General features: G+C 37.0%; 1 protein-coding gene across 25 annotated transcripts in view; it reads right to left on the bottom strand.

The window, feature by feature from the left end:
• Nucleotides 1-18,959, bottom strand: part of FTO (FTO alpha-ketoglutarate dependent dioxygenase) — a 417,979-nt gene that overhangs the window by 246,623 nt on the left and 152,397 nt on the right. For 23 of the 25 annotated variants that reach the window (XM_047434606.1, XM_011523314.4, XM_011523316.4 and 20 more), the window contains one exon: nucleotides 1,454-1,533. The exons of 1 other annotated variant lie outside the window; for it this stretch is intronic. In XM_047434606.1, coding sequence (XP_047290562.1) covers nucleotides 1,454-1,533 — 80 coding nt within the window. Of the gene's footprint in view, nucleotides 1-1,453; nucleotides 1,534-15,919; nucleotides 16,154-18,959 lie in introns of those variants that run through there. One more of the 25 variants, XR_007064911.1, reaches the window with a different exon arrangement.

Genomic DNA, 18,959 nt, shown 5'->3' with positions numbered 1-18,959 from the left:
AGACTGTCCACTCTTCTGGATTAGATTAGGAAAGACGTAGAAGGGCGCACTTAAGTAGCCATATACTCAAGTGATCCACAAGAAAGGGATTCTTAGGAGGGTTATAGCTAGAAAGACAGATGCCTATAACTGGGGAAATGAAATCCTTGTGTATAATACAAGGCACATATTAGATGCTCTATAAATACTTGCTCCTCCCTTCCTCCCTCCCTCTCTTCCTTCCTCCCTCCCTCCCTTCTTTTCTTCCTCTGTTCGTCCTTACCTACCTTCCTCCCTCGCTTCCCTCTTTTCTAACAGAACTCCCTTTAGGTCTCTAAGACAATTATTTCTGTGTTTATTTGTTTAAAATTTGTCCCCCCCAACTAAAGTTCACAAAAGTGGTGGGCATCATGGGCATGTTGACGGCTCTATCTCCCAGGCCTACAGTTTTGGACACATAACAGGCACTCAAATATTTAAATGAATGAGTGAATGGAAAAGAGAAGAAAGGGGAGAAAGGAAGAAAGAGGTGCTGGATGGGCTTGCTGGCATCTTGGTTTAAATACTCATTCATTCTCTCTCTGCCACACAGCAATATGATCGTTCCACTGGTAAAGCTACTTAATGACCAAAAGACACAACACTGCCGTATAGACTCACGCAGTACTGCCACTGGAAGACCTTGCACCTGTACCTCTCACTTTGTTGTACCACTTCCGCCCAATTTTCTCACACTTGTCCCCTGTAGTTCCATGAAAGGTCAAGCTATAAAGCAAAGCATGGATAGCAAGCTTAGGTAGAAGGTCACTTGTAATCCCTTTCATGCCTTGCTCTCTGGAACCCCTCTTAACTGAGTACATGGGACCCCAACATGACTAATATGAGTTTTTCTCATTTCTTAGTTTTCCATTCTGAACTAGTCTGAACAGCTAACCATGGGCCATTGCAAGTGGTGGCAGAATTTAGCAATAAAGTCTGGGTTATGAACACAACTGTGGAGCTCAGAAACTCCTTGGCAACCCTGTAACTTTCTCTTTACATTCACATGCCCAGAAGTCTGACCAAAAAGTTAAGGGAAATGAAAATTCTCAACATCTGAACCCAGCCACAGCTAACACATGCACAAGCATAAAAATCTGCCCCAATTCTTCTGGTCATCTCCTGCCCTTGACCTTGACAGATACAACCCTCTAAATAAACCTCTAACTATAAACACTTGTCAACGGCATTTTCCTTCTCCAAGAAACATAACCCCAAGAAGCAAAACACACTTATCCCATGGCATGAATATGCTTTCTAAAACTGTATCCAACACAATCCAAAGCTCAAAAAGCAAGTAAACAGAGACGAAAGTCAAGTTAGATGGAAGCAATTTTCCCATCAAATACTCTTCCAAAGCTCTATAGTAAATTGCTCATTCAACCACTTCTGTCACATCCAATTAGGTGTGAATCACATTTTTATTTACACTTACCTCTGCCACTCGGTGGGTGGAACTAAACCGAGGTTGTGAACCGGCCAAAACACAGTGTTGGTGGGTGGCATTGAGATCATCTACAGGAAAAACACCAGAAATGTATAAAACCATATTTATTAGTCAGTATATACTATATATTATTTAACTAAAACACAAAGTAAACAGTAAATCTATCTTCCAAGAAATAACAATAACCAAGGAATCAATACTTACCTTGTATTCTTTAATCAATCCCTTATAAGTAGGTGACTACATATATATATATTCCATTATATGCGTATCTACTTATAAGTAGACATTATATATATGTAGATACATAACAAGTATAATAATATAAATATAAGTATACAATAAATATGATATACTTATATATACTTATACATATGCAAGTATATATAAGTAGATATATATAATCATATGTATATAACTAAATATGTATATATTCTATCATACAAAGTATGACACTTTGAAGAGTGAAAGGGGATGCTATTAACAATTATTCCAGAACAACAAGTATAAACCAGGACTGTCCTCAGCAAATGAGATATAGGGTCACTCTACTTATTTGTGGTCCTATTATGCCCACCCACTATAAAATTCACTATATATGAATTGAGCTTCTTTCACTTTCTCATGACACATCTACTTCTACCCTTATCTTTAGAATAAACCAGAATTTGGAGTTGCACACCTTTCATCTGAAAAATCTGCCTCTTTCCCTCCATAATCAAAGTATCAATTTTGCCCTAACAATTTTCCAGGCAATAAACCAACCAACTCAGCATGTTGCATGTTTGGCTCTTAGAACAGAACTCAAGTGTAGGGATTCACAACCCAAGAATGAAGTAGGTGGTGAATTCATCAGTTGAAGAATATTCCTAAAACCACAAGCAGTGGGAGAAAAACCAATGACCAAGTTGTTATATATCCTAAGAAATGATACCACAAGTCAGGCAAAATCTATACAACCTCTGCTCAGGACATGACTTCCTCTATTACAAAAAAAGAGAGTTGTAATGTTTCCAGCAATGGCATCCTATACAGGCAACACAAGATTTTTATCAAGATACCAAAAAAGATAATGACTTAAACCAAGAGGCAAATGCCACCAGGCCCCTTATGTATCAGCAAAAACAACCTACAATATCATCTCTAAACATAGAAAAGAAATGCAAGATATTAAGACAGGATTTCTGCTTATGAATATTGTGAAGTAACAGTGACAAGATTTACCCTTCTGTCTTAAACAACTACAAAACAAGCCAAAAATATGAATCAAAGGTTTCAGCAAGATATAATCCCATGGAGAAGAGAAACAAAATAGGTGAGAGATGCCTACAATTGCCCTAACTTACTCCATGGAAACAGTTTCAATGCCACAGAATAGAGAAGAGGAAGTCAAAACCCAGAGTCTCTGTTTCTTTCTTGCCAAGTTGAGAAGACAAAGACTGGAGTATAGGGAGGCCAAGGCCACAGGGCCTCGAAAGGCAGAATGCTGGAACAGAAACAGCTATACAGAGAGACAGCAAACAGACTGCAGGAAGGTTCCCTCAAGTATTTGGAAGAGCACTGACCTGTGCATGTATGAATAAAAATTTCCCAAGGGCCAAAAAAAGAAGCACCAGAATGCAGCAGGTGGAACCAATTTCAGATTTCACACACAGCCAGGAGTATTCTATGATCCCAGCAGCCAAAATGGCTCCCACTACATGAGATACTAGAAAATCCTTAGGAAAGCATCACTGCAGAAGTAGGGCTAAATGAGTCCTAGGTTAAAGGCTGCTCTAGTCCCACCTAGCAAGGCTTAAAACTAAGCCTCAAAAGGATCCAACTTCTGGCCAGGCACAGTGGCTCATGCCTGGAATCTCAGTACTTTGGGAGGCCGAAGTGGGTGGATTACCTGAGGTCAGGAGTTCGAGACCAGCCTGGCCAACATGGTGAAACCCTGTCTCTACTAAAAATACAAAAATTCGCTGGGCATGGTGGCAGGTGCTTGTAATCCCAGCTACTCAGGAGGCTGAGGCAGGAGAATTGCTTGAACACAGGAGGCAGAGGTTGCAGTGAGCCGAGATTGCGCCATTGCACTGCAGCCTGGGAAACGAGAGTGAAACTCCATCTCAAAATTTAAAAAAAAAAAGGATCCAACTTCTTAGTAATTTAATTATTCATTAGAGCAAAAGCCAAAAGTATGTAAAAGTATATAACAAAATCAGGCACCCAACAAATACGATGTGCAATACCCAACATCCATTCAAAAAGTAACAGAGAAATGAAAGATACATACACACACACAAAATATGCGAGGTAGTCACATCTCTCTTTTCTTCTAAATGTACATATCTGCCCTTTCATATATATATATAAGTGAAGCTTCTAAAGGTTAAACATGCAGTATCTGAAACAAAACTCACACTAAGTGAGATGAACAGCAATTTACAAACTGCAGAAGAAAAGATCAGTGAACTAGAACACATGAAAAATAAAAACTATGCAAAATAAAGTGGCTAAACAAAAAAGACTACAAAAATATGAAAGGGCATGAGTGACAGCCAGGACAATATTAAGCCATTTAATGAAAATTTAATTTGAATTCTAGGGAAGAAAGAGTGACAAAAACACACACATTTTTATAGAAACAATGGCCAAAATTCACCAAATTTCATGAAAACTATAAACCCAGAGATCCAATAAGCTCAACGAATTCTAAGCAAAAAAAGATATAAGACTAAACTAAAGCATGTCATAATGAAATGTCTTAAAATCAGTAATAAAGTGGAAAGGTTAAAGGCAGTCAGAAAAAGAGACATTAAATACAGAGGGACAAAGATTAGAATGACAGCAGACTTCTCATCAGAAGTTATAAAACTCAGAAGACAACTGGTGACAAAATACTAAAGGAAAAAACTGTCAATCTACTATTCTATACATAGTGAACACCCTTTCCAAAATAAAAGTGAAATAAAGACTTTTCAGAAAGAAAATGAAACAATTTATATTCAGTAGATTTACACTATAAGAATAGTTATGAAATTCTACAGGCAAAAGAAAAATAATGTCAGAAGGAATTTAGATCTGCTCAAAGGAATAAAAAGTAACATAAGTAACAAATATCATGAAAGAATAAATGCCTTTTTAAATCCAAAATAATAACAATGTATTCTGAGGTTTATAACATATGCAGACGTAAAACACATGAAAAAGCACAAAAGAGGATGGAAGGAAAAGTGGTACAACATTCAAAGTTACATTGTGGTAAATCAAAGATGTAAAGATATTATAAAACCAAGAGCAGTGGCTTTCAATGAGATGTAATTTTGTCATTCCTCACTCTGGAGAGAGAGACACACTGGAAACAGAGATGACAATTTATCAGAGTAAAAAACAAGAAGCAGAAACACACATGGGAACCAGTTCCAGGATAGAAAAACCGTAACTGTAACTACTGAATTGCTGGAGATTCAACGTAGACGGGACTGAGAGTTAAAAAGTCCAGGGGAGCTCCATCTTAGGGAACTCCCACACTTTTGTGAGTTTTATCTCCAAAAGCTCTAACAGGTTCTCACAGTGAAGATCCAAAAACATCTTCTCATGCTTCTGGCAGAAGGAAGGGAAAAAATAGCGACTTTATTTATTTATTTATTTATTTATTTTCTCAGGAGACAGGGTCTCACTTGTCATCCAGGCTGGAGTGTAGTGGCATGAACATACTTCAATGCCACCTAGAACTCCTAGCCCCTGCTAGCCATCCTATTGGAACTAAGAATGAGAAAAAAGAAAATGAGAAGCACTTGTGAGGTTCACAATTCACAGGCATAAACTCACTAAAAGACTGAGGCTTAACCATAAGATTATAGAATGCTTCCCCTCCCAACATACCTTACCACCACATTATTACTGCAGTTCCTCTTATCCAGTGCATCCCATCTGCCTATCAAGAAAAAAGTACAAGGCCTTCTAAATGGCAAAAAAACACAATTTGAAAAAACTGAGCAAAAATCAGACCCAGAGTCAGAAATGGCAGAAATTAATTATCAGAAATGTTTTTGAAACTATGATTACTATTCTAAGGACCCTAAAGGACAACGTAGACGACATGCAAGAACTGATGGGGAACGTAAGCAGAGGGATGGAAATTCTAAGAAAGAATCAAAAACAAAATGCTGGAAATCAATAACACTGTAACACAAATGAAGAATGCCTTTAATGGGCTCATTAGAGAACTGGGCAAGGCAGATGAAAGATCTCTGAGCATGAGGATATATTAAGAGAAACTTCCAAAACTGAAAAGCAAAGAGAAAAAAGACTGAAAAAAAAAAAAAAACAGAACTATGGGACAACTGCAATAGGTGTAATATATGTATAATGGAATAACAGAAGGCGAAGAAAGAGGGAAAGGAACAGAAGAAAATTAGAAGCAATAATAACTAAGAATATTCTTAAATTAATGTTAGACACCAAACTAGAGACTCGGGAAGCTCAGGAAAAAAACCTACACTTAGGCATATTATATTCAAACTGCAGAAAGTCAAAGATAAAGAATATTGAAAAAGCCAGAAGGAAAAAACAGCTTATCTATAACGGAGCAAAAAAAAAGCTATCTGACGTTTCCTCAGAAACGAGGCAAGCAATACAAAAGTGAAGTGAAATACTTAAGGTGTTGAGAGGAAAAAAAAACAGCAACCTAGAATTGTGGATCCTACAAAACTACCCTTTAAAAGTAAAGGAGAAACAGACCAGGTGTGGTGGCTCATGTCTGTAATCCAAGCACTTTGGGAGACCAAGGCAGGTGAATCGCTTGAGGTCAGTAGTTCAAGACCAGCCTGACCAACATGGTAAAACCCTGTCTATACTAAAAATACAAAAATCAGGTGGGCGCAGTGGCACACACCTGTAATCCCAGCTACTTGGGAAGCTGAAGCAGGAAAATCGCTTGAACCCGGGAGGCGGAGGTTGCAGTGAGCCAAGATCACGCCACTGCACTCCAGCCTGGGAGACAGAGTGAAACTCTGTCTCAAAAAAACAAAAAGAAAGAAAGAAAGGATTTTTTAAAAAAATGTTTCAGACAAATAAAAATTCAGGGAATTTGTTGCTAGTAGACTTGTATTGCAAGAAATTTGTCAGAAGAAAAATGATATAGATCAGAAACTCAGATCTGCATAAAGAAAGGAAGAGACTTTGAGAAGGAATAAGTGAAGGTAAAATAAAAACCATTATTTTTCTTACCCTTAATTGATAGAAGAGATAACAATTTATTCACAATAATAACAACAATGTATTCAATTATGTATGCCACATATATATATATGTATGTGTGCCTATCTATGCTTATTTGTAAGTGAAATTAATGATAGCAATGAGTATAAGAGATGAGAGAAAAAAATTAGGAATATTTTATTTTACTGTACTTGCACTATCTGTGTAACAGTATAGTGTTATTTGAAAGTGGACTTGGAACAGCTGTAAATGTATACTGCAACCTCTAGGTCACTACTTAAAAAGTAAAAAAATACATATGTAATTGATATGCTAAGAAAGGAGATGAAATGAAATCATGAAATACTCAAAACTATAAAAGCAGAAAAAGAGTGGAAGACAAAAACAGGGGAAAAAACAAGACAAAATATAGAAAACATTAACAAATATGGTAGATATTAATCCAAGTGTATCAATAATCACTTTAAATGCCCATGGTCTAAATACACACATTAAAAAATAAGAGATTATCAGAATAGATAAAAAACAAGGCATATGCTATCTACAAGAAACTCAATTCAAATACAAAGAAACACACAGATTAAACTTAAAGAAACAAAGAAGACAGATATACTATGCTAACATTAATCTAAAGAAAGCTGGAGTGCCTATATTAATTTCAGACAGAGCAGATTTCAGAGCAAAGATAAATTATCACAGAGAAAAAGGGGTAGTACATAATGATAAAGTGGTAAATTCTCCCAGAAGATATAACAGTATGCACCTAATAGTAGAGCATCAAAATGTATAAGGCAAAAACTGATAGAACTGCAAGGAAAAACAGACAAATCCACTACTATAACTGGAGATGTCAACATCCCTCTATCAGAAAACGACAGATACAGCAGGCAGAAAATCATTAAGGACATAGTTGAACTGAGCAATACCATCAGTCAATTGAATATAACTGACATACATAGACTATTTCATTCAACAACAGCAGAATACACACTAGTATCAAGCTCACATGGAGCATTCCCCAAAACAGACCACATTCTGGGCGATAAAACACGTATTACCAAATTTAAGAGAATGTTATCATTACTTTCACTTACAAATAAGCATACATAGGTACACACAAACACACACACACACACACACACACACACACACACATATGTGGCGTACATAATTGAATACATTGTTGTTATTATTGTGAATAAATTGTTATCTCTTCTATCAATTAAGGGTAAGAAAAATAATGGTTTTTATTTTACCTTCACTTATTCCATCTCAAAATCTCTTCCTTTCTTTATGTAGATCTGAGTTTCTGATCTATATCATTCTTCTTCTGACAAATTTCCTGCAATACACGTCTACTAGCAACAAATTCCCTGAATTTTTATTTGTCTGAAACATTTTTTTAAAAAATATTTGACCTCAGTCCAGAATGGAATTAAACTAGAAAATAATAACAGAAAGATAGTTGGAAAATTCCCAAATACTTGGAGATAGAACAATATACTTCTAATAATCTGTGGGTCAAAAAAATCTTAAAAAAAAGGAACTAAATGAAAGTGAAAACACAACTTACCAAAATTTGTTGGAAGCAACATTAGCACTGCTTAGAGGAGAATTTATAGCATTAAATGCCACAAATGTATAGCATTAATATAGCATTCTGCTTATATTAGAAGAAGAAAGATCTAAAATCAATAAGCTAAGCTTCTACTTTGTGAAATTAAAGAAAAAGAACAAATTAATCCAAAGCAGAAGAAAAGAAACAATAAAAGTTAATGCACCTCGATGAGATAAAAAACAGAAAACTAATAAAGAAACTTAATGAAAGCAAAAGTTGGTTCTTTTAAAAGATCAATAAAATTGATAAACCTCTAGGCAGACTAAGAAAAAAGAGACAAGAAACATATTACTAATGTCAGAAATGAAAGAGATGACATCACTACAGATCCCATGGACATTAAAAGGATAATTTTAAAATGATGTCAATAGTTATTTACCCAAAAATCTGAAAACCTATAAAAAATGAACCAATTCCTTGAGAAATAAAATCTGCCAAAACTCTTACAAGAAGAAATGAATAATATGAATAGGCCTATCTCTATTAAAGAAATTGAATCAATAATTAACATGTTTCCAAAGCGCCAGGCCCAAATATGTTCACTGTTGAGTTCTACCAAACATTTAAGGAAGAAATTATACTAATTCTTAACATTCTTTACTAGAAGGTAACACAGGGAATACTTCCAAACTCATTCTTTGCGGCCAGCATTGCCCAGACAGACCTTACAAAAAGGAAAACTAAAGACCAGTATTCTCTCATAAGCATAGATGCAAAAATCCACATCAAAATATTAGCAAATTGAATGTAACAATGTATAAAAAGAATTACACCACGACCAAGTGAGATTTATCACAGGTATAAAAAACTGATTCAACATACAAAAATCAACTAATATAATCTATCACACCAACAAGCTACAAAGAAAAAAAATATGATCATACCAATAGGTACAGAAAAACATTTGACAAAATGTGATACCCATTCATGATAAAAAATTCTCAGTAAACTAGAAATAGAGAAGAACTTCCTCAACATATAAAGAATGTGTAAGGAAACCTGCAGCAAATATCATACTTAGCGGTATGAAACTAGAAACTTTTCTGCTCAGAGTAAGAAAAAGACAAGGATGTCTCCTCTCAACATTCCTTTTCAGTATCATATTGGAAGACCTGGCTGACACAGTAAGACAGGAAAAGAAAACAAAAGGTATACAAATAGAGAAGGAAACAATTAGAGTATGTTTGTTCACAGATTATATTATTGTCTGTGTAGCAAATTCAAAAGAATCAATAATCTAATCTGACTGGCAGTTTCATAGGAAAGAGGAAGAACTAAAGGGGAAACAAGAATGGCAGCAGAAGGCCAGTCAGGAAGCTGTTGCAGTAAGTCATGCAGGAGTTAACAGTGACTTGAACTACAGAGACAGGGGAGGAGACGATAAGCAGACAACAGATTCAGAATGTTCTAGGAAAAGACAATAGGACATGCTAATGAACTGGATGAGTCAAGTCAGGAAAAAATAAACTCAAGAACAACTCTTGGGGTTTTCACAGCAACAACTGACTGAAGGTGAATAAGTCACAAAACCTTAGGACATTGCAAAATAATAACTACAAAATGCAATTAGAGGTGAGGATGAAAACATCAGTGATACATTTGGAGTTTTAAATCCAAATATAAACACAACAATATAGAGGATAAAAAGCAGAAGTGTGGCTGTAAGGCCTAATGAGGAAGGCTAAGTGGCCATTCTCTCTTCCCGTTTGCCATCTCTGAGGACATTCCTGAGCAGTTTTGGTTGATCCTGACTATGTTGCCTAAAGGAGGTTTCAGAGTCAAGCAAAATAATAAAAAGTGGAGTTTGAAGGGGGCTTCCCAGGATAAATTCCCATAAAAGACTGGGACAATGTCTAGGAAATACATAAATGCCAGTCTCATCTACCCAAATAAAAGCCTTATTACTCCTATGCTATTAATACTGGGACCCACAGTCATAATTAGGGGAAAAATCACCACCTTAATGAGTAGGTTTGTTAAGTGCTTTTGTTCCACTGAGGGGAACACTGAGTCACCTAGTGACTCAGGCCAAATGGCAAACACAACACTAGAAGGTATACTTTGAGGCTTCCACCTTCATTTAAATCCTTGGCAACTCTCTAATCAAACAATTCTTTTGAAATTGCTTCCAACTGTATCTAATCCTTTATGACTTTAAAAAAAGAAACTTGTAATTTTCATTTAAGAGCTTCTAATTTATCGAAAACTCCATCTATAAAAGCGACACAAGCTTCATGGATTGTGCATCTCAAAGGATATACTTAAGACCCTCCCAGCTTTAAAAGATTATTCCTAATAATTTTTAGAAAAAATAAATTAAAGAATGTCTATTTACCACAGCTATCTCAGAATACAGCTGAAACTTGACTGACACTGTATCCAACTGGAGTAAGAGTTTGTAGATGATGTGACAACACACACACAAAAAGAAAAGACGCTCTCACTCTTTGCTGGCTGAATGCTGCGTGCCCTGGCAGTGGAGAAGAGAGCTCTGGACATTCACTGTAGCATGAAATCTCATTTCATATATAAAAGACCACAGAAGCAATGCTATAATTTATGCTAGGGTAACCAATTCATGTTCACGACTTTCCTGGTTTTAATACTGAAAGTCCTGCATCCTGAGATCCCCTTGCCCACAGACTTTTCGAAAAGGACAGTTGGTCACCCTAAATTTACCCCAGCCCTTACTTCCTTGGGTTTGCTGTCACGTACATTACCAGGGCCATTTCACCCAAATTTCTTAGAGAAACAATCATGACTTTTGCTAAAGGCACTCTTGGGGTAAATAAGCCCAGTACTGAAATCCAGTCTTCCCAGCTTCAAACAATCACTGAAGCTTTTCATTCTTACTTACCTGTCCATTCTCATCTCTCAATCTTAATATTTATGACCTTGTTTTTCCTAGATGTGGGCCACCCATGGCTGAAAACATTTTCAGAATTTGATAGCCAATGAAAGGGGGAGGGGAAGGTTCCTGGCAAGATGCCAGTATAGACACAGGCCCCGTCCCATTCCTAGATTCTCAATGAGACAATCAATGGAACATAAAAATGGATCAAAACCTCTTTTGGCACTATATATTAGAGAAAGGTGCTCAATATGCCAGAAGTGCAAATGATTGCGCTGAATATAGTATAGGTGGAATTAGATTAAAGAAGGGCAAAGAAGGCTGACAGGTGATTGTCTCTCCAAAAGAGCAGCGAGCCTGATAAATATACCAATCAAATCCTGAGCAAAATGCTCACCTCTTAACTCAGAAAGCAAAGAGCAGGAGGGCAAGAGAAGCTTACAGGGCACTCAGAGAGCAAGGCTCTTGCCTCTGTAGCGAGCATTCTATGCACACAACCTGTGATACTCACTGTAGCCAGAATTCTGTGCACATAACCTGTGATACTCACAGACCCCTGGATGTGCTGCTGTTATAAGCCATGACTCTGAGTACCAGGCATTGCAGAAACAAGGAACTGGAGCAATCAGCAATGATAGGAGTGGGCCAAAACCTACCATGGTTTGCTCATACTGCAAGCATCCACATAAAGACAAAAACAAGTTCTTAAGCACACTCCAATTTATAAAATCTCTACATGACTGTGTAAGGACACATCTTCTTCCACCTTCAAGTAAAGGATTTGGCCAGGAATCCATACTAATCTCTCACAGAACCAATCTCAGCTACTTGCCTATCAGCCAGTACTAGTCTACTTTCTATGAGGATAAAGAGGCAAGGAGTAATTGCCAGAACTATGCAAAATTACTACAGTTCAAAGGAATGGAGGCACTTTGATCAAAACTGTCTTTTCTGAAAAAAGTTTACTCGAACTGACATGATAAAATTTTAGAAAATTCTCAGTTTTTCAAGAAGACACTTGATTCAAGAAGGCACTGCATCTGTGAAAATACGGTAAGCAGACATGAAGCTGAAACAGTATGAGATCAGAAAAAACCACTGGCAACTGACTTTTTTAATAGCATTTCTTCATTTAACACGGCAATAGATGGAGTGAACAGCAGAAAACATGCTGCAGAAAAACCAAATTACTGAGCTGGATGAGTGAACTCAAGAGATTCTCCTATAACTCAGGGAAAATACAAGAAATGAGTGATGGAAAACCTTAGACATGAGGAACAGATCCTGGAGATCCAAATGTACTTAACAGGAATCACAGAATGGAAGTAAAATACAGGCTGGGCATGGTGGCTCACACCGGTAATCCCAGCACTTTGGGAGTCCAAGGCAGATGGATTACTTAAGGCCAGTCAGGAGTTCAAGATCAGCCCTGCCAACATGGTGAAACACTGTCTCTACTAAAAATACAAAAAAAAAATTAGCTGGGTGTGGTGGCAGGCGCCTGTAATCCCAACTACTCGGGAGGCAGAGGCAGGAGAATTGCTTGAACCTGGGAGGCAGAGGTTGCAGTGAGCCGAGATCACACCAATGTACTCCAGCCTGGGCGACAGAGAGACTCCATCTTGAAAAAAAAAAAAAAAAGTAAGATACAGAAAGATATAAGAATAATCAAAGAAACACTAGAAGAATGTTTTCCAAGGTTGTGAAAAGACCAGAGTCTGCACTATAAAATGGTTGAGCAAGGACATAAACATATTCTGTTAAAAAATTAAATATAAAATACTACAAATGTCCAAACAGAAAATACAGCTTACCAAAATGAAACCATAATGTAGATCACCTCAGACATCTCCCAACATCAAATATCAGAGGTCACAGAACGATATCCATAGAGTTGTTGGTGGTGGTTTTTTTGTTTGTTTGTTTGTTTTTTGAGATGAAGTCTCACTAATCGCCCAGGCTGGAGTGCAGTGGCACAATCTCAGCTCACTGCAACCTCTGCCTGCTGGGTTCAAGTGATTCTCCTGCCTCAGCCTCCTGAGTAGCTGGGATTACAGGCATGTGCCATCACACCTGGCTAATTGTTGTATTTTCAGTAGATGATGTTTTGCTGTGTTGGCCAGGCTGGTCTTGAAATCCTGACCTCCTGATCTGCCCACCTCGACCTCCCAAAGTGCTGGGATTACACGGATGAGCCACTGCACCCAGCCTCTACAGAGTTTTAAGGGGGAAGTTTGATACTTAAGAATCCTATAGCCAATCAAGCAGATATTCACAAGTGAAAGGATAGGAAGTCACTCTTCTATAATGCAAAGACTCAAAGAATATGCCACGACCACTCCCCTGCCATTAGTCTTCATAAATATTATTAGAAACTACATTTTGGCTGACCAAGAGAACAATCAAGAATTTTTTTTAAATCACAGTACAAAAAGGCTAGCAGTAAGCATAAACGCAGTTAAATAATTTCAAATATTGTTATTTAATTTAATGCAACTATTGCGATTAAGACTTAAATGGAAAGATGTTTCACCTAAAATAAATATTAAAAATCTAAATACAAAATTGAAAATTGGGTATAAGAAAATATCTGGGAAGTGGGCAGAAGGGTTAAAGCAATAAAGTTAAAGGCAGAAGGGATAAAGTAAATGTTAAGAAAAACACTAACACCTCAACAGAAAAATGAGCAAAATACGATCAGCCAATGAATAACAGAAAGAAGAATGGCCAACAAAAATACAAAGTGTTCAACCTCATGAATAAATAAATGACATTTAAAATAATAGCATATTTTCACCCATCAAATCGGCAAAAATATTTGTAAATTGGAACACTTAGCACTGTATACAGTAGGGTAAAGGAGGTTGGTGGAAGTAACTGATGATCACATTTCATACATTGCAGGTAGGAATGAAAATGAAAATCTCTCTAAGTAACAGTCTGACAACAGAGTATGTACTGTGTAAATGTCCACACCATAATACCTCACCAAGGCATTCAACTTCTAGCAATTTTTCCTATGGAAATAAAGATATATGTACAAAGATGTTCACTGTAGCAATATATATAATATCAAAAAACTTGAATAACCAAAGTAGAAGATTATTTTGTGATTTAAAACATTTTCTGAACTTTACTGAAGTATAATTGACAAACATTTTATATATCTACAATGTAAAATGTAACGTTTTAATATACATATACATTGTGAAATGACTTCTAAAACCAATCTAATTAATATACCCATGACCTCACAGTAAACGTGTGTGTGTGTGTGTGTGTGTGTGTGTGTGTGTGTTAAAAACATTTAAGATCTACTCTCTTAGCTAATTTCACATATGTAATACAGTATTAATAAATATAATTACTGATATTGTTTGGATCTGTGTCCCCACAAAATCTGATGTCATACTGTAATCCCCAGTGTTGGAGATGAGTTCTGGTGGGAGGTGATTGGATCATGGCGGTTTCTCATGAATGGTTTAGCACCATCCTCTCAGTGCTGTTCTCATGACAGTGAGTTCTCACAAGATCAGGTGGTTTAAAAGTGTGTGGCACATCCCCCCTCACTCTCTCTTCCTCCTGCTCCGGGCATGTGAAGGGCTGGCTCCCCCTTTTTGCTTTCCAACATAATTTTATGAGGCCTCCCTAGAAGCCAAGCAGATGCCAGCGTCCTACTTCCTGAACAGCCTGGGGAACTGTGAACCAATGAAACTTCTTTATAAATTACCCAGTCTCAGGTATTTCTTCACAGCAATGTGACAGACTAATACAGTTACTATGCTGTACATTAGGTCTCTAGAGCTTATTCATTCTGCATAAACAAAACTTGGTACCTTTTGACCAACATCTACCCAACATCCCTCAAACCCTTGGAAACCACATTCAACTCTGTGCATTTATGAGTATAACATTGTTAGATTCCACATATAAGTAAGATCATGTGGTATTTGTCTTTCTGTGCCTTGCTTATTTCACTTAGCATAACATATTCCACACTGTCACACATGACACGATTTCCTTCTTTTTTAAGACTGAGTAATATTTCATTATGTGTGGATATGTGTGGGTATGTGTGTGTAGATATAGATATAGATATACCTACTGCATTTTCTTTATTCAATCATCTGTTAACAGATATTTAGGTTGTTTCTAAATCATGGCTTTTGTGAATAATGCAGCAATGAACATGGGAATGAAGATATCTCTTTGAGATACTGATTTCATTTCCTTTGGATATGTATACCAAAGTAGAATCGCTGGGTCATATGAAAGTTCTATTTTTAACTGTTTGAGAAACCTCCATGCAGTTTTCCACAATGGCTATACCAATTTACACTCCCACCAATGGTGTACAAGGGTTCCCTTCTCTCCACATCCTCACCAACACTTGTTATCTATTGTCTATTGTATAATAGTTATTGTAACAAGTGTGAAGTAATATCTCATTGTGGTTTTGATTTAGATTTCACTGATGACTAGATGTTGAGCACATTTTCATATACATGTTGAGCATTCATATGTCTCCTTTTCAGAAATGTCTATTCAAGTCCTTTGCTCGTTTTTAGGTCAGGTTACTTGTTAACCTGCTATTGAGTTTTATGAGTTATATATGATATATATATAAATATCATTAAAATATATTTAATATACAGTGATATATATTTATATGATATATAAATCATATAATGAAATATATATATCATTGATATGATATATAGTGATATATATTTTTATACTACACACAGCATGTAGAACCTTGCACATACTAGAAACTTACCACATATTTGGAGAGAACATCCTTTTTCTCTCCCCAGGTATTAGCCAGAAACCATAGCTATCCTTCTTAATTGCTAATGGAAAATTGGATATGAGATAGGATGTGTAAAGAAGGAGGTCAGAAGACATAGAAACAGAAATTGGAGGTTGAAGTGGCTTCTTCTGTTTCATTCATTAACTTTGAGAGATTCTGGTCTTCACAGTTTAGTGGAACTGTGGGCAGAAGTGATGGGCTCTGCACATACAAAGGGGAAAATGGAGAAAACCATTTAATTATCTTTTCTGTCAATCTAACCTCTCTCCCTTCTCATCTTTCCTTTTCCCCAACTCGCTATACTCTGCAGTCTCCTGGGAAGAGTTACAACTTGGAAGAATAAAGGAGAAAGGTAGCCCTGGCTAAAGTGGATTAAAGATCTTTTTGCTTATTTAGAAAGCAAAAATCGGCCAGGCAAGGTGGCTCATGCCTGTAATCCCAGCACTTTGGGAGGCCGAGGTGGGCGGATCATGAGGTCAAGAGATCGAGACTATCCTGGCCAACATGGTGAAACCCCGTCTCTAGTAAAAATACAAAAATCAGCTGGGCGTGGTGGCACGAGCCTATAGTCCCAGCCGCTCAGGAGATTGAGGCAGGAGAATCATTTGAACCCAGGAGGCGGAGGTTGCAGTGAGCCGAGATCCCACCACTGCCCTCCAGCCTGGGTGACAGATCAAGACCCCGTCTCACAAAAAGGAAAAAAAAAGAAAAGAAAGCAAAGCAAAAATCAATTATTAACCTCAAGAATCTATTCTCTTCAAAACCCATCAACAAACTGAGCATTCCATAAAAGTTAATTCTAAAAAAAGGGGAGAAGGAGAGGGGAAGTTATGTACCTTGAGATTATCTTTATCTCTATACTTGTTTTGTTGAAAGACTTTTCACTTCCATGGAAAAATTTTATTTTGGGGAAGATTTACAAAACTAGCCAAAGCTCTTACCAATTTCACTGATCACTGTTTACTGTCCTATTTATTTGGTGAATGAATACCTCTTTCCTGAGAATCTCTTTATTGAACATTTCCGTTTGAAGCTTTAAAACATAAGGATACTTATTTTTAAAGTTTGTATTGCTTAATTTAAAAGTAATAATATATCATCCAGTCAAAGAAGGCATCAGTTTAAGATGGATTCCAATTTCAGAGATGTTAAATATGAAGAAAAAATGTCTACCTTGGAACTGATGAATTAGGGTACATGCTCATTGTAGAGAATTTGCAAACTATAGAAAAGTGTAAAGAAGAGAAAATATTATTTATAATTATTTGGTCTAATTCCTTCTAGTTTTTTTTTATACTTAGTAATATGTTTATCCTTTGTTTATATAAAATTAATATCATGTTGTACAAACATTTTGCATCTTTTTTCCCTGATACTTTTATATTTTGAGCATTGTTTTCTTATCACTAAACAGTTCTTGAAAATAATTGTTAAAAACTGGTTTAAAAATTAATCCCTTACTTTCAAGCAAGATGTCAGAATAGCACTTGTCTCCTTGTAGAAACATCAATTTGAATAACTATCCATGCACAGAATACCTTTATAAGAGCAAAGGAATCCAGGTTAAAGATTACATTGCCTGGATGGAGCACAGAAATAAGAAAAGACACATTGATGAGTAGGAAGAACAGTTTCAAATTACCTACGTCACCTCTCCCTGAAGCCTGAGCAGCACAGTGTCAAGAGGGATACCCTTTGTGTGGGGGAAGGAGAATGAAGTGAGTACCCAACTTCTCTGTAAACCAAGCAGAGGTCCACCCCAGTGAACCCCAGTGATAGGGTGGCCTCCAAAGACGAAGGCTCCAAGCCTACTCTAGCACCAGGTATGCCCTTGTGGACTCAGGCTCCAGGTCAGCCCTCGAAGCCCCAGAATCCAGGACTTCCTATATATATATAGAAAGAGAGAGAGAGAGAGAGAGAGAGAGACCAGGTTCTCAAAAAGCTTAGTAGTAGTAGGTGACATAAGTAGGTGACATAAGCAGCTAGAAGCCCTTATCCTAAGTGAATTCACGCAGGAAAAGAAAACCAAATACTGCACGTTCTCTCTTATAAGTGGGAGCTAAACACTGAGTAAACATGGACACAAAGAAAGGAACAACAGACACTAGGGCCCACTTGAGGGTGGAAGGTGGGAGGAGGGTAAGGATCGAAAAATTATCTATCAGGTACTACGCTTATTACCTGGGTGATGAAATAATCTGTATACTAAACCCCTACAATATGCAATTTACCCATGTAACAAACCTGCATATGTATCCCTTGAACCTGAAATAAAAGCTGGGAGAAAAAAAAAATACTTCCATACCAATAACAACAGTCAACAGGGGAAAAAGTTGTGGCATCCACATTGATTGGTTGGTTCCCTTGCCATTAAGGGCATTCAATTTTTTAACATCACCCCTAAATAAATGAGCTATACACATACCTAGATGAGGGGGTAGAGAGAGCAGTGTGAACAAAAATAAGAAAAGAGGTTGTTACCCCAACCAACTGTAGGACAGACTACAAAACCACTATAATGAATTGACCAAGGACTATGATTTATATCTTTGTACCTTTAGGTATGTATCTTATGTACCTTGAGATCATCTTCACCTCCATGCTTGTTTTTTTTTTTGAGATGGAGTCTGGCTCTGTCACCCAGGCTGGAGTGTAGTGGCGCGATCTCAGCTCACTGCAACCTCTGCCTCCTGGGTTCAAGTGATTCTCCTGCCTCAGCCTCTCGAGTAGCTGGGATTACAGGCACACGCCACCACACTCAGCTAATTTTTGTATTTTTAGTAGAGACAGCCTTTCACCATGTTGCCCAGGCTGGTCTCGAACTCCTGACCTCAAGTGATCCACCTGCCTCGGTCTCTCAATTGTTTTTATAAAAGAGTTTTCACTCCCATAGAAAATTATATTTAGGGGAAGATTTATAAAACTAGTCAAAGCTCTTATCACCTTCACGGATGGCTGTGTGCTGTCCTATTTATTTGGTAAATAAATATCCCCCCCCAAAAAAAAA

This window comes from Homo sapiens, chromosome 16, assembly GCF_000001405.40.
Source record: "Homo sapiens chromosome 16, GRCh38.p14 Primary Assembly".
NCBI classification, from domain to species: Eukaryota; Metazoa; Chordata; class Mammalia; order Primates; family Hominidae; genus Homo; species Homo sapiens.
Note: the sequence above shows the minus strand (reverse complement) of the source record. Positions and strands in the feature narration are given on the sequence as shown.